The 16,433-nt window shown below is 51.4% G+C and overlaps 1 protein-coding gene across 5 annotated transcripts in view, besides 2 other annotated features; it reads left to right on the top strand.

The window, feature by feature from the left end:
* DSCAML1 (DS cell adhesion molecule like 1) overlaps nucleotides 1–16,433 on the top strand; it is a 389,743-nt gene that overhangs the window by 128,904 nt on the left and 244,406 nt on the right. The gene's annotated exons all lie outside the window — the stretch shown is intronic.
* Nucleotides 7,930–8,637: an enhancer, noted in NCBI's record as "NANOG-H3K27ac-H3K4me1 hESC enhancer chr11:117550689-117551396 (GRCh37/hg19 assembly coordinates)". NCBI's record gives its function as "activates a minimal SCP1, AML or CMV promoter by ChIP-STARR-seq in naive H9 embryonic stem cells {active_cell/tissue: H9 hESC(naive)}" and the evidence as "EXISTENCE:reporter gene assay evidence [ECO:0000049][PMID:30033119]".
* Nucleotides 8,638–9,344: an enhancer, noted in NCBI's record as "NANOG-H3K27ac-H3K4me1 hESC enhancer chr11:117549982-117550688 (GRCh37/hg19 assembly coordinates)". NCBI's record gives its function as "activates a minimal SCP1, AML or CMV promoter by ChIP-STARR-seq in naive H9 embryonic stem cells {active_cell/tissue: H9 hESC(naive)}" and the evidence as "EXISTENCE:reporter gene assay evidence [ECO:0000049][PMID:30033119]".

The following is a 16,433-nucleotide window of genomic DNA, read 5'->3' as shown; positions in this document are numbered from 1 at the left end:
TGTCCTTGGTGGAGCCCAGCCCAAAATCCCATTCCCTGCCTCCTGGTCCTGTGTTCTTCCTGCCTCCCTTAAAGATAGGAGCTGCAAGTCTGTGTGGGGAGGAGGCGGGAATGGGTGGCTCTTCTCCCTGCCTGGATGATGTTGGGCTGAGGAGGTGAGAAGCAGGCTGCTTCTCTCCCCTATCCTTCCCAACTCTTGTCCTGCTGGGACTGAGACCATTGTCAGGAAATAGCAGGCCTGGCCTGGGCCCATCCCCGAGAACACAGCCCTCCCTCTCCCCACTGCTTGGAGATGGGAGGGCATTGGTGAGCTGCCAGGCCTGCCCAGGTGCCACCCTTGATGGTTCATGGGCACAGCCAGCCCTGTCCCTGCCTTCTCTGCCCCTCGGGGTTGGCACCTCTGTAGCAGTTTTACGCTCCAAATTTTCTAAGTCATTATCTTCCCAGACACCATTCTTTTTCCTGTATTGCTGCTGCTATTGAGAATTCCATTCTTCCCTCCCCTTCTGCCAGTACTGGCATTCTCTCCTCACCCATCATCTGAATGAGCGCTTCTTCCTCCCTCCTTCCTCCAACAGCTGTCGCCGACCACGGGGAATGGCTTGGCCATGCTTGTCCTGGGTCTGCAGGAGAAGCTGCCTGGGTTCCTCGCAGGACTCCCCATAGACATCCTTGTTACTTGGACCACGTGGCCCATCTGGCCATGAGGACAAATGTGGTCAGATCCAAGGTCCAGACCATCCAGCCCTCTTTCCCCTAAGCTCCCTGGGACCTTTGCATGGGAGTGCAGGACATGTGCCATCTATTAAGCTGCCCTTACCAGTTTTGTTAATTATTCAGAATCTTGATGTCTTCTCTTAAAGCCTAGAGAGACTACACTTCTAAGCTCTGATTTCCTCACTTTTCAAACAGAATGCTAATATTAACCTTCCAGGGTTTAGAGGAGTGTTCAGTGTGCCATACACTGTTGGGTACATAGTAGATGCTCAAAAAATAATTATTGAAACAAAACATTGCAAAGAATTAGAGGGTTTAAATGCAGATTAGGCCAGTCATGGTGGCTCACACCTGTAATCCCAGAACTTTCAGAGGCTGAGGCAGGAGAATTGCTTGAGCCCAGGAGTTTGAGACCAGCCTGGGCAAAATAGCGAGACCCCATCTCTAAAAAAAAAAAAAAAAAAAAAATAGCCAGGCATGGTGGAGCACACCTGTAGTCCTAATTACTTGCGAGGCTGAGGTAGGAGGATTACTTGAGCTCAGGAGTTCGAAGCTGCAGTCAGCCATGATTGCATCACTGCACTCCAGCCTGGGTTACAGAGCGAGATCTTGTCTCTAAAAAAATTAAAAAATAAAAAATAAACGCAGAGTGGCTCCAAATCCAAATAGCCCTTGACTTCTCCCTCCTCCTTGAACTTCTTTACCTGTGATCTCTTTGGCTTGCCTCCTCCCGCTCTGGCCTCTCCTCCTTTTCTTCCTGTCTCTCCTATAAATCCTCCCAGAGTCCTTGGCCTTCTGCCTGCCCCCATCCACATTCTGCATGTAGACATCTGGGGTACCCCTGTGTCTGCAGCTCTGCAGAGATGGGGTTAATAAGAGCCTACCCACAGCCAGCAAATTCTCACAGTCACAGACTCATAATCCTAAAGAGGAAAGACATTCAATGTGTCATAATCCACTTTCCCACTTAGTGCCTGAGTCACCGGTTCTTGGATCCAAAGTGTAAAGATCAAGCTAAATAAATGTGAGTTACCATCATCATCATCATCGTCATCATCAGGCTTGTAGATGGTATGGCAGATGAGCTTCACCTGGTGGCCTGGGTGGTCCTTGCCTCTGTGGTCAGATCTCTGAGGCCCTGAGGGTCCTGAGAACCCCTCTGCCTCTTTCTCCCGCTCCCAGGCATGTGCCTGCCTCTTCCTTAAAATTCTGGATTCCCTTTATATGCAGGTGCCCACCGGAAAGGACTCTTGAAGGTGCCGTAGTCATTTACACCTGAGTATGACCAAATTGGCCACAAGCAGGCCAAGAGAACTTTGCAAGGAGAGGAGGCTCCAGGTGCCGGGGGGCATGTGCCCAGGACTCTGCAGTGTAGGGCAGGGACCAGGGCTGGGGAGGCTGATGGAGCAATGGCAGCTGTGGACCCGCAGTGCGAAGGCTCCTGCTCTTGGCTCTGCCACTGGTGGGATCAGGCCCAGTGCCTGCTTCTTTCTGAGGCCCAGTTACCACTTGTGCAGAAGGAAGGGTCAGACCCAATCATGCATTGTGCTGTCCTCTGGGAACTAATCCCACCTGAGACTCAACAGAGGGCGGTATGAGCACTTGACCGCACCTCTGCCCATATGCTGAGAGCAGGTCAGTACTGGGACACCCTGGAGTTACTAAACTCTAAGCTAAGGGTGATCCACCCAGCCCTATCACTCCTTCCCAGCTCCATCTCTCCACATAGTTCAAGGTCAGGCTCAACCATGTCAGCCCATGGAGGTCTTTGGCAGGAGCTGGGGCTCCTGTAGTGGGGAGGGAACCTGGTACCTCAATTCTGGATCTCACCTTCTCTTCCCTGCAGCCTTGTCCCAACATTTACTGGCTTTGGGTCCAGTGGCACAGATGCAGCATCAGAACCCTCCCTCCCATCCTCAAGGCTGTAGATCATAGCAGTCTTCAGGGGCCCAAGCTCTTTCCAGGTCCTGCTTTCCAAAAATGAGCCTCAAATGCAGCAGGTGCTAAGTGTCTGTTCTCATGGCCCCCTAGACAGTCATCATACCACTGCTAGCAGTCATCCTCTCCCTTCACGAATGACAGGACTGTACAACTTCCCAGACATTTTTCAACCTGCAGCTTACCTAGCCACACCCCTGGGACCAGGCAGGGTAAGTATGCAGATAAGGAAAGGCTCAGAGAGTTTGAGCTACCACTGGAAGTCACCCAGAGGTACGCGTGCTTTCCGTCTCCTCCCGGGGAGCTCAGAGCTCACAACAGCTCCAGGGGTAGAAAGCAAACCTTTGAGTTCTTCTGGAATATTTGTAGGCACCCGTGCTGGAACCCCATCCCCTCTGAATCCCACCACAGACCCTCTTACCTAGGGGTGCTGGGACCCCAGGTCTGCCCCTGGGGGCATATGTGCCCCATCACTCTACCTGGGCCCAACTGTGCATGCCCTGCCCATGACCCTGCCTGGGCCTCCACCCTGACCCTGTTTTCTGCTAACCTGACTAGGGGAGGTAGGGAGAGGAGGTAAGGAATTAAGCGGAAGGGTGGAGACATGAAGATAGCCGCTTTCTGGGAATCAGGAGGCCTGGATTCCAGCTCTGACCGTTAATTTTCTGTGTGACCTTGGATAAATCACACAGCCTGTCTGAGCTTCATCTTAGGAAAGAGCCTGATGAAATGATCTTTGAGATTCCTTCCAGCTCTGAAATCCTGACTCCTACAGCTTCCCTCACAAGTCTATCGCCCACTGTGTGATCCAATGCCAGTGAATGTTGAGAGGCCTGAAGGAAGCCCTGGGGAGATCCCTAGGTGCCTCGATGTCACGGAAGGCCTTGGTTACTCTCCAGGCCTGGTCCAGCTCTGCCCTTGGGCCTCAGGCCTCCTGGGACAGGGGCCTCAACAGGAGACCTCCTCTATTGCCAAGTTTTCCCATGACAGGCTCAGAGCACCGGCTGGACCGGCCCTGGCATCTCCACTGGGGCCCACTTTGGCTACTTGAAGAAGGGACTTTGGAACCTTCCTCCCTCTGTGGAGCAATTAGTCAGGCAAACTCCAGTCTCTCCCTTTGGCTAAAGATCTGAGCACTGGGCAAAGCCCCAGCAATATATGAAGAAAGGGGTCAGACTCCACTCAACACCTCATGTTCTATTTGTTCTCAAGCACACACAAACACCTTTCAATTTTACATTCTTGGCTTAAAAGTGTTTAACATTCAGCAATACATTTTACATTAGACAGACACATCAGAACAGAAGAACTAGCACAAAGACAGGAGGGGCCACCTCCATCCATATCTGTCTTTTCTTTTTTTAATGAAACTCCGTCATCTCCTTCTCTCTCTCTCTCTCTGCTCTTTGCTAACTCTGCATCTCTGTATATAATTGAGTTAAATGGTTTTGATATCCTAGCGTCTTCACCCCACACACCCTCTTCCTCTTTTTTTCTTTTTTTTTTTTTTTTTTTTTTTTTAGTTAATGAAATGTGTGAACAGTTTGTTCCCAGCTAAAAACAAGCGCTGATGGGTTTCATACCTTTCTGTGTAGGAGGAAGAGGTAGGTTCTGAGCAAGGCACTGGCTGGCAGTGGGAGAGGCCACTGGTGGGAGGTGAGGTGGGGAGAAAGAAGGAGAAGGGAAAGATCCATACAAAACATCACGTGTGATCTGTCCCTCTTTTGCTCTCCCTGTGCACAAACCCTGCTGGGGTCCCTGTGATTGGCACATGGGCACAGGGACTTGGGAAGGCTCCACCCTTTGGGAAGTGAGTCAGTACATCCATGGGTCAGGAGAAAGGGACTGATGCTTGGAATGGCAGTAGTGGGAGGTAGAATCCTCCTAAGAGTTTATTCCTTGTTATCCATCTCCAGGGAGAAAGAAAGGCAAGGTATTGATAAGAAAATCACTACTTCCTGGCTTGAGGATGACAACAGCACACATATATCTGCCTGCATTTGTGCACATACGTGTCTATGTGTACCACCCTTCTGTGTCCTTGAAAGAAGGTATTGGGACCCTGGGTGGGGGTGATGACAGGAGACAGCCAGCTGTGTGATAAAATTATGACAGCTAACATTTATTCCATACTGCCTATGAGCCAGGAGTTTTAAGGACACTGCTCACTTATAAAAATGTGTACTGTATTTCTCCCACATTGTATATGAGGAAACTGAGGCTTAGAGAGGTTGAGTCACTTGCCCAAAGTCACACATCCTTCAAGTAGTAGTGAATCCATTATATGAGCCCAGGCATTTGGCCCGAGAGGCTACAAGCTCGACCCCTCTGCTCTACAGGAAAAAGCCTGGAAGCAGAAGGCCTCTTTTATCCACCAGCTGTGTGACCTTGGGTTGGTCACTCACCTCTCTGAGCTTCCATCTCCTACAGGGTTATAAGGAGACTCGAATATGGAGCTGCATGTCGTTGAGCTTTGCAAACTTTGAAGTGATGTCGAGAAACTCGCAGATGACTGAACTCGGCTCTCCTCTGCATGTTCCAGAGAGACTAGCAGATCACTTTACACGCAGTAGGTCTTGTGCTCTTAGCCTTTTCAACTTAGAGGCGTGCAGTCCAGTTTACCACTGACCTAGAGAAAAGATGCAGGCTGGGACGTCCTGGGACCAACCGTGCTCTGTCTTCTGTGCTATTTTCCTTATCGCTCAGTTGTTGGCACTCCCTCTTTTCAGACCTCATCCCTCATCCCATCACATTTTATGACACTGCAGGTGTCTTTATAAGCTGCCTCTAATTCCTATTGGAGCAGGGTAAGATACAAATTAGTCAAACAAATAAATAACAGTGGTTGTTCAATAAATACTTCCTGGTTGGTGGAATGAAGGTATAACTAAAGGTGAATGAATGAATGAATGGATGAATGAGTGAAACTGGCCAGGAAAGGGGCAAGTCCTCTGTGGAGGAGCAGAGGGACATTATGGTGTAAAGTGGGACAGATCTGGGTCTGATTTCTCTTTCAGCTGTTTAATAACAATGTGATCTTGGACAAGTCACCTGGTCTCTTCGGGCCTCAGTTTCCTCATCAGTAGAATGGGAGCCAGGAGACAGCAGGCTCAGGGCAGTTCTCTCCCTTCCTTCCTCCCTCCAGCCAGCCTCTGGCCTTCACAGTTTTTCCTGAGAGAGTCATGTACCTGTCTCTGTCACCTCCAGACTTGGGGACATGGAACATATTCTCTCCAGGCTTGGCTGGGAGCGAGGGGTAAGTTTCACCTACCAGCTGTCCCTCCCTTGGAAGAATCCTTTTCCAGCCTTTATGCATGGGCTGGAGGGGGTGTCAAGTCAGGGTGCAGGATGTCCAGGTGTAGCAGGAGCCAGCACCTCTCAGTAGAATGTAGGAGTTCTTTTCACCTATTGTCCTCAAGAATTTGGCTTCAACTGAAATTCAGAGACATACAGAAAAGCCTCATTTACCTCTCTCCTGGATGGGCCATGGGAGAGGTGGCATCTGGAAGAAGGATGGGCAGGAACTCTTCTAGGTGAGGTAGGGGAAGAAGCACAGAGGCACGGTCAGGCAGAGGGGAATGAGTGGCTCATGGGAGGGTGTCTTCAGGTTCAAGTTCATGGCTGGAGCAGGTGGGAAGGAGGGAAGGCAGCAGTGATGAAGAGGTTTCTGGACAGGGCTGGACAGGCAGCGGAGGCCAGACGGGTGGCCTCATTCACCTCCCCAAGGAAGATGAGCTGCATCTCACGTGTGGCTGAACAGAGCGCTGCTGCCATTGGAGGAGGACAATTCCTTGTCCTCCTGGGCCATCCTGTACACAGCAGGGTGCTGAGGAGGACCGCTGGCACCCAGGCATCTTTGTGACAACCATAAACAGCCCCCAACTTCCTAAAGGGGGTAGGGTCTTACTGTCATCGAGAACCACTCTGTAGGTGATAAGAGGACACTAAAGAATGAAGCGGGAGTGACAAGATCAAATGTGTGTTTTAGAAAGTTCACTGTGGTTCCCAAGCGGGGATGTGGAGAGAGAGACTGGGACAGGGCAACCAGTTAGGAGCTTAAATAATTCTATCAGTCTGTAGTGGTATTAACGGAAGAGACTCCCGGGGGCTGGAGGATTTGATGTGGGTGTTTGTGATTCTGCCCAGTGCCTTAGGAGGGACTTCCAAGGAGACAGTGAAGAAAAAAGTCCAAGGATTAATTTATTAAATTAATTAAAGAAGCAGTATCCACTAATGCCATTCCCATGTGGGTTTTCTGTTTCCTTTTTAAGTGGGGAGAGAGGAGGATGCTGGAACTGGGAAGAGAGGCAGGGTAGCCATGGAGGAGAACGCAGTCTCCAAGCAGCCATCTCTACTCTGCAAATTAAAAATGGAAATTCAATAAAGCCCTGGAGTGTCAAGAGACTGTTTTTCCAACTTGAAATCCTGCAGCTTGTCCAGAGGGGCCTGCCTTGGAATAGCCTGCAAAAGGGAAGCATTTCCCAGTTGCACAGGACTTCACTGCCCTGTGGTCAAGCCAGAGGGCCTTCAAGGAGGGGGCAGGCCATGTCCCCAAAGCACATAGGAATGCTTATGAATGCACGTAAGAATCACCCAGAGCGCTTGTTAAAATGCAGATTTTTTTGAGTTTGTGGGCCCAGGAGGGGCTGGAGATTCTGCATTTCTAAAGAGGGTTCAGGTGATGCCGATGCTGCTGGCTCAGGGACCACACTAGGTGAGTGGCAAGCCCCAAAAGCCTTGTTGGACCCTACCAGGTCCATGTGTTCACAAAGGGGTTTGCTGGGAGTCAACAGAGCTTGGAGGGCGTGGGTGGGAGAGAGAAGGGTGGGTTTGCAGATGCGTGTTTTGTGTCCCTGGGACCCAGACAGCTGGCGGATATTTAGCCTGGAAAATGCAAGATGAGAATCCAGGGTCCGAATGAGGGAGGATGAGGGAATGTGGGGAGCAGAGGCCCCTCTTCAGTGGTCAGCTCTGGGACAGTCCCCCTTCCCCATGCTCTTTGAGTAACTTGCCACCCTTGGGCTTCACCTCGTCAGGCTCTGTGCTTCAAGAGCTGGCCAGATCTTCTTCCCCTGGGTTGTCACCGCAGCTGTCACTGCTGTTCTCACTGCTGCAGGTCCAGCCCCTTTGTAGGGGAGGGGAACGGACCCTGCCTGGCAGGGGGCGTGAGCCTGCTTGACCCATCAGAGCCTCCCAAGGTACCCTGTTTGATCTTTCCTTGGCAAAGCGGAAGGATTTGGGAAGCCTGGCCCTGGAGAGGCTGTCCTTACAAGCCCTGGTGATCCCACTGAGGAATGGGAGCAGACAACCACCATGGCAGCCTGGCCAGCACAGGCCACAGCGATGATGGGAAGGCTGCTCTGCTGGCTGCCTTATCATGGACCCCAGCCTGAGTCAGTTCTCCCCCACAGAAGTCCCTCCCAGCCCTGGAGCTGCACCTCCATGCCTTCCTTTGGAGAGCTTTCCAGATCCCTGAGAAGCTCTCACAGCTGGCATGCCCCACTCTGGGAAGACCCCTACACTTTCTGCTCTGTGGCCTAGCCAGGATCTGAGGGGACCTTGTGCAGGGGAGTGGGACTCCCTGTGCCATGTCCCTCAGGGCTACAGGGGCTCTGCACCCACAGGAGGGTCAGGGGCCACAGCAGGACCACCAGGCTTGGGGGCTGGAAGGCATGGGTTCTGCTTCCTACTGCCAGTGTGGACTGGGACAAGTCACTTGGGTTTTCCTGGTTGGGGGTCCCATTTGCATGATGGAAAAAAATCTGCCACATTCTAGCTCAGGAGGACAGCAAGAGAAAGGAACCTGGATGGCAGAGCTAGGCTGGAACTCTAGAGATCTCATGGTCGGGCTGTCTCTTCAGCTTAGAGAAGGCATTATCTTCACTGATGGACAAGCAACTGAGGAAAGCCCAGAGAGGTGACAAAAGGTGCTGAGAGTGGAAGGAAATGGGAATCCAAACAGCTAGGACTCAGGCCAGGCAAAGACCCAGCAAAGTCCAGGGCATCACAGAACATGACCCAAGAGTCTTGCTGCTCCCTGGACATCTGTGTCATGGAGAGGAGGGTCTCATATCTGACATCTGAATTCTTTATAATCATTGTGGAGGGACTGCTCTTCCTGGTGGGCACATGATGTACATTCTAACGGGAAAAGTTTGCTAAGCTTAGTTTCCCCTCTTTGAAACAAATCGGCCTGCTGGGTTTGTAGGCTGCTGCTGTTGTTCTGGCCTCCCCAGGAATCCAAGGGAACTCAGGCAGGCTTTTTGTGGATTACATTAGAATAGACTTTGAGCCTAGACAGCAGGGAAGGTGAAGGTGAGGTAGGGCAGAGGCCCAGGGCCCCCAGGAGGAGAGCTAGAAACCACCTGAGAAAGGGTGGAGCAGCTGGCAGCTTTAGGAATATGAGCAGGCTATGCTGGGGTACCGGGTATGGCCAAGGTTGTCAGAGAAATTACTGCTCACCAAGGGCTGGAAAAAGCACCCATCACCCAGCAATCACAGCCAAGTTTCAAAATAGCCCTTGGTGGAGCCTCCTTTGAATGCAACCCAGTCTGTCAGGCCTTCTGAGTGCCTCTCCTCCTGGAAGTTCCCCTGACCCTCTCTGGGGAGGAAGGGCTGCTGACTGCACAGCCGCAGCTCCGACCGCCGCACCAGCTGCCTGGTTCATGAATCCTGGTGTCTGCTAGGTCTCTGCCTGGGCCTCTAGGGCAGAGAGGCTCTATGGTTAAGCCACAAGCCTGCTGGGCCCAGGGGATCTAAGACCACTTTCAGCTCTCCCTCTGCTCCGTGCCTAACACGCATCGTCCCACAGTGGCCAGACCCAAAGTCAGCCTCTGGAGTGGCAGTGAGCCCTGGCCTCTGCTCTGGCCCAGGCCGACCTGAAGTGGCCTTCCATTCAGCGGAAGGCAATGAGGCCGCTGAGCCTGGGAGGAGCCCCTCCCCCATATGTGTGCCATCACTTTGGCTGCAGATGTTCTCCGCTTGAACCTGCCTCTGGCACTCATTTGCAGACAATCCAGTAGCATTTCTGCTCTCTCACTCTGTAGTATTGAAAACTCTTTACAATCCTATTCAAAACCCTCTCTTGGCTGTTGCCCCATTCCGAGTAGAAGCCAAAGTCCTCGCCTACAAGGCCCTGCTCAGCCTGGCCCTACGCCCTGCTCCTCTTTGTCCTCATCTCCTGCCACTTCTCCCCATCCGCCTTCTGGCGCATGCCATTGTCCTGAAAGACGCCAACCTGTGCTGGCCCCTGGCCTTGGAACTTGCTATCCCCCGTTCTGCTTCCTGGAGTGTTCTTCCACTAGGTACCCATGTGGCACACTCACTCACTACCTTCAGGACTCTCAGGAATGTCACCTTTTCGGAAATGCTTTCCCTGACCCTCTCTCAAATACAGCTGCCCCCCAACCTTCCCTGCTCAACGCCCCTTCCATGGTACCTAACTACTTAACACCATTTGACCTACAAGGTATTTTCTTGTTTGTTTAGTTTACCCCTCCACTGTAAACTCCAAGAGGGCAAAGATTTTGTCCATTTTATTCTTTGCCATATCCTCATGTCCTAAAACAGTTTCTGCACATAGTAGACACTCAGTAAATACTTGTTCACAAATCTAAATCAAAACTGCAAACCCTCATCTATCAAGGCTTCTCCTCCCGCCCGCCACCCCACCCTGTAGCCTGGGGCTCACTTAGGCTGGGTAACCCACCAGGAGAAAAATGGGGGCTATCTCTCCTGGCTTCACCATTCCCCAGCTGACTCCAGGCTGGGAGGAGGGATGAGAGGAAGAGGGTGAAAGGGTCATTGTACTTAGCGGCTGCAGCTGGTAGAGCGAGCTTGTCAGCCGCCCTCTCTCTCATGGAAGATATTGTGAGTTATTTGGAGGAAGCTCTCTGGGCCTTTAACACTGCACTGCTCCCCATGCAGGCAATGACCTTTTTGGTTGGTCTCCGGAGTCCCCCTTAGCTCTGTTCTAGGACACACCGCACAGCCTCTTTCTTCGGCAGGCAGTCCTCGTGAGTGGAGTCCTTTGAGACAGCTCTGTCAGAGGCGCGGTGCAGCACAGGGGTGAAGATCAGGGCTCTGGAGCAAGGCTGCCTGGGGTTGTGTCCCTCCTCTAATGCTCAGTAGCTCGGCAGCCTTGGGCAAGTCCCTTCACCTGTCTGTGCCTCAGTTACCTTAGCTGTAAAATGGGGTTAATAAATGTGTTTTGTTAGCATATCTGTCCTTCAAACAGAGCCTGGTGCGTAGAAAGTGCTCAGTAGAAGTTAGCCATGGTTATTGTCCCTTCTGCCCTGCATGATGTCTACTTGCCCCTTGGTAAGCAGAAGCTCCCCATGGTCCTGCAGCCCTCCAGAACCTTCTCTGCTCCCTCTGCCCACAAGCCAGGGTCCTCACCAGCCCCTGCCCCGCAGCCACAGAACCCATGCCTCATTCTCCCGCCCCAGGACTTCCTCAGCACCCTCCCCTCTCCCTGCCCCCTGCTCCCTCCCTGGCTTTCCTGGGCTCACAGGACCACAGATGGGACCCATTCTTCTGACACACACAGGGAACCCACAGAATGCCCTACTCTGTTCAAAAAGAGCCTCATTCCACCATCTCATTCGATGCCCATTCTATTTATTTTACCCAGACTGGAGCTGTGATGGGCTCAGGGGCTCAGAACCAGCCCCCGACCCCAGCCCTTGGCAAGCCCTTCTTAGAAGTCTAGCACCTCTTCTTAGAATCTAGAGGTCCTTGTCGCCTATGATTCTCAGCTTTAGGCTCCTGAAGAAATTCTGAGACCATGAGAAATGTCCTCTTTTACATGCCATCATCACAAATTGAGGATATCAGAGCCAAAAGGAGACTTGGAGATTCAAACCTAAGACTTGGACTTACTCAAACCTTTGTGGGAGATGTGAAGAAACCACCACCCAGCAAGATGAAATGATTGAGCCAAGTCCATCACTGATCAGGGGTCTCCGGGCCTCCTGGCTCCCCTCCCAGTGCTCTCTACCCGGCCTCCCCTGTCCCGGTGGGACCCTCCTTCACTTAGCCTTCTCGTGGCTCGGCCACACCCCTTTGAGATGGACATCTGGTGGGGATATTGACAGCAGCTTGGGTGGCACTCCTAGCCCACCTACAAGCCCGTTTCCCAAAGGCATAACACTGGGCCCTCTGGGAGCCCGCAGCTCCCAGTGCCGTCCCATCGGGTAGCAGAGTGCGGCCCTGCCACCTGGCCCTGTAAAGTGAAGCTCCCACCCACACTGCTTGCTGGGGGAGACATCTGCTGAGCAGCTGCTGGTCCATCCAGACAGCTCTAGGCCCTCCCTGGCCACCTGTGATGGAGGCTGATTGGGCTGGAGGTGCGACAGCTTCTGAGGGGTTAGGAAGGACTGGTCCCAGGAGCACCCCGTCTGTGCAGTTGTGGCAATGGAACCCCCCTGGACCCTTTGGGAAAAAGAGGGCTGGAGAGGCAGGTTTGGGACCTGCTATGGTAACAAGGGAAAGGCGACTGGAGGAGAAACCAGATATCTCCCAGACCTCACTCGCATGCCCCACAGGTGTCCAGAGCCACTTGCATTGAAGTACAGTTGAGATGTTGAATGGCAGAAGAATCTCCCTAGCCCTGGTCCAAACGCTTTCCTTACCCCTTTTGTAAAGATAAAGGAGAGGTCTGGAACATGTCAGAACCATGTCTAATATCTCTGCCTCATTCCCTGCCTTCGAATTGTAAAAACTCTGCTATCTGATGCTGTGGCTTTCTTCTTCCTTCCTCTCTTATGATTGCTTTTTTTTTTTGTAATCAAAACTAGCAATGATTTTTTTTCTGCCAATTTGTGATAATATTGCCAGTCCTTTCATTGGCTCTCTGCTCTATTTTACTGTTTCAATCATGATAAACTTTTTATGAGAGAATCTGGTGGGTTTGGAACCCATTAGCAGAACTGCAGCTCGAAAGTGCTATTTCCTCCTCTACTTCCCAGTTCCCCTTCACATCCCCAGCCCCCAACTCATAAAAAGCCAGCCCTGGAGTGGGGACCACTCAGTATGGAGAGAGAATCCTAATCAGGAGTGGGAGCCATTCGATGCAGTTTGCATTTCACCAGGAGGAATTATTGATAAGACCGAGGCTGAAGTGGCCAGCTGAGAGTCTGTGGGTTACTTTCAGAGCCGCTGGTGGATGAGGGATGAGAGCAGGTGTCAATAGCCGGCCTTTACGCCAACAAGAAACGATGCCCGAGGTGCTCCAGTTTTGGCCTTTGCTGGGGGGAAAGGGGGGACCTGCACTTAGAAAACCAACCACGCAGCCGGGCCTGTCTTTACAGTGATTTCAGGTTTCTTCTCACATGCCTAATTGTAGACTGGGACCCAGGTCTGGAGGAAAGGAAGCCCCCAGGTCCCCAGAGGTGGGAGTATTGCTTGAGGCCAGAAGTTTAAGATCAACCTGGGAAACATGGTGAGACCCTGTCTCTAAAAAAAAAAAAAAAAAAAAAAAAAAAAATTTCAATCAGCCAGGCATAGGGGCACACGCCTGTTGTCCCAGCTACTTGGGAAGCTGAGGCGGGAAGATCGCTTGAGCCCAGGAGTTTGAGGCTGCAGTGAGCCATGATCACACCACAGCATTCCAGCCTGAGCAACAGAGCGAGATCCTGGCTGGCAGGCTTGGAAGCATAACCCTGATATTTTGTGGTATGTTTGAAAATGTTCCGAGCCATGGTATTGTCTGTGTGTGTGTGTTTAAAACAACACATTAATGAAATAGACTATCCCTGAGTAGAATTATAAACGCTAACACACAGTGTTCTAAGTTCTTCACATATGTTAACTCATACATCTTCATCACATGCTTGTGGAGGAGTTGCTATTACTATCTTCTTTTTACAAATGGGAAACAGAATGGGCGATAACTTGCCCAAGGTCACACAGCTAGGCAGCAGCACAGCCAGGATTTGAGCCCAGGCAGCGGGTTCTGGCATCTGCTCTCTTAAGCACGCCACTCTCTGCCTGATAAGATATTTTACCTTGCACAAATCTATACCCCACCCAGATCATTCCATGTGGTTCTTAGGATCCCTATAGGACAAGCATCCAGGGAGGATTTGCCCCATTCTACAAATGCAGAAATACAGACTCAGAGAGGTCATCTGATTTGCCCAAAGTCACCCAGCTGGTAGCAGCAGAGAGACTCTGAACACACAAGCAGAGATTTAAAGGGCCATCTCTCTGAGGGCTTTGTGAGGATATTCTTCCGCTTGGACCACTCGGCCCTCCCACGATGGAATTGCCTCTCTGCAAGTCCATACAGAAGAAAGGGGTGCTTAGTCGGGTGCCTCATGGAAGATTGGGATCCTGAATCTGCAGCGGGATATCTGGGTGGGGTACCTTGCGGGGATACTACCTTGACAAATATCCCATCAATATCCAGTGAGAGGGCTTGGCACCTGGTATGCATGGCCCCAATCATGAGGACGTGGTACCCATGCCATTTGGGATGACCCCATCCACTGAGAGGATCATGGCAGTTCCTTCTGGCCCTTCAGAAATGCCTCTACCTAGAACTCCCTTACCTTGCTGTAGAACGTGGGTACTGCTTCAGCTTCCCCCGTCCAAAGAACCCAAAACTTCCTACCTTCAGTAGTGACTCCACCCCAGTGTCCACCTAGGATCCCCCAGTCTGGAGACAGGCCTGGCTGGAAAGCCAGAAAGGAGCACCAGCTATGTCCCAGGTGCTATCCACAGCACCTGCCAGGCACACACCAGGGCTCAGGTCATGAGAAAATAGGACAGAACCAGCATTCTTATGAAAATATGCTAAATACAGCCGAGAGGATCTAAACTAGTACCGGCAACGTAAGTTGCTTTGGATATAAGTGCTGCACTTGCTTCCTCCAGTGGAGAATCTACCGAAGGCATGCAAGGTGCGGGGATCGAGGGAAACCCACCACAGGAATGAGCCTCGAGAAAAGGTGGACGTCTGAGGAAAGAATGTGGGACATGCGCTTCTAATTGAATCCATTTCTTAGCACCATCTTCCCAGGCCAGCTCCAGCCTGCACGTGTGCACAGAAATAAGGAGATAAATAAATGGAAACGCTGAGTTCCAGGGCAGCCTAAAAGGTTGGGGAATGAATCAATGTTCTCCCCAGGCAGCTGTCCGGAATGAAGTGTAATAGTTAATAAAGGCTGATTGTGCACACGCACAGCTGGGGCCAACCAACAGCGTGAGCCCAGGCCTGGGAGCCTCATCCTCTTCCTGAGCCACCCCCACCTCCTCAACCCAGTGGTGATCACAGGCTGATTAAATCGGACTTCCAGGCAGCAGGTCCAATTAGACAGGGAGCAGGAGGTTTGGGCATTACCTGTGACTGCACAGGACATGTCAAGTAAACCTTCATCTCTCTGATTTGCTTCCCTGGGCATGGGGAGTTTGGTGGGGGGCAGAGGATGGGAAAATGGGGATGGGGCCAGACTCTTGAGGAAAGCAGAGCATCAGACCATCTGCACTTGGGATAAACCCCCATGAAAAGCACTCTCTCAAGCATGATGGGAAGAAATGGGCAGGAGACAGGATTCCCTGCTTGGGGAGCTGACTGTCTTCTGGTTGGAGAAGTCCACCCAGGAGCTGGCTCAGGAAGATGCTTAACGTAAACAGAAACACCAGCACAGATCTTAGAAAAGCAGAGGATAATTCAGAAATCATTGATATTCGGCTTTGGAATGTATTGATTTTCCTCCCAGAAGATTTACCTACCTAATTCCACTTGGCTTAAGCAAGTAATAAAAACGTGTTTGCCTTTCTTGATCACAGTTAGACTGGCAGCAAGGGCCAAGGGCGTCATGCTGACCGGCTGGAAGAAGGTACTCTGGGTTTACAGCTTGTCCACAGAGAGCCACAAAAACAGGCGATGAAAACCGATTGCCCGAGGAGATGAGCAAGCACAGGGGAGCACAGACGTCTTAGAGCCCAGATCCAGGCAGGTGGTCTGGGGAGGCTTCCTGGAGGAGTTTCCACTTGACTTTGGGAACAAGTGCAGAAATGTATTAGTACAGCACACCCAAATGTTTTACTTCCTCCACTTCCTACTTCCAGACATAGGTAAATCAATTGGCATTTGTCTCCTTACTTGGCATAAAAGGCACTCATCCTGCATGAACTGTTGTTAAGTGTGTTGTATGATACCCCGAGTCTTTGAATCAGTTTAACAAGTATGCTGGGCTCATGGTGATACCCAGTTTAAGCACTAGAGGAGACGAATCAAACAGAACCCAGAATGATAGTGATGTGTATTGAATAAAAAAATGGGACACCTTGGACAAACAGCGGAACACGTATGCCATGTGTGTTGCCCACTCATAGGCTCGCCCTGGATGCCCATGGGCTTATTCTGAAGTTGCTGTGATTGCGTCGCTGGGAACTGTTTCGTGTACAGGTGCTCTTGTTGAATTCCCTGAGTGATGGCAAATCCTTATCCTTGGAGCACTTTTCGACTTTGCCAGAAGAAGGGCACTGATCTATAAAGCCATCAGCATTTTTGTGAATCTTTGCTAATAGGAAAGCCATGTGTTTGGGGAGTGGGGGGAAAATGGCCAGTTAGAGATCTAGAGGGTGCCCCTAAAGAAAAAGCCACTAGCAAAGCACCGATGATGTCAAATACCAACCCCAAATTATACAACAGGGACTGCCTGCCCCTCTGTTCAAGGGCACTGGGCTGGGAGGCAGGAGGCCTGAGTGTAATCCTTGCTTCCACAGTAACCTGCTGGCTCCATTGGAAGAATCCAACCTCCCGAGCTCTGG

The sequence above is a fragment of the Homo sapiens genome, chromosome 11 (assembly GCF_000001405.40).
Source record: "Homo sapiens chromosome 11, GRCh38.p14 Primary Assembly".
Lineage (NCBI taxonomy): Eukaryota > Metazoa > Chordata > Mammalia > Primates > Hominidae > Homo > Homo sapiens.
This window is presented reverse-complemented; position numbering and strand designations above follow the sequence as displayed.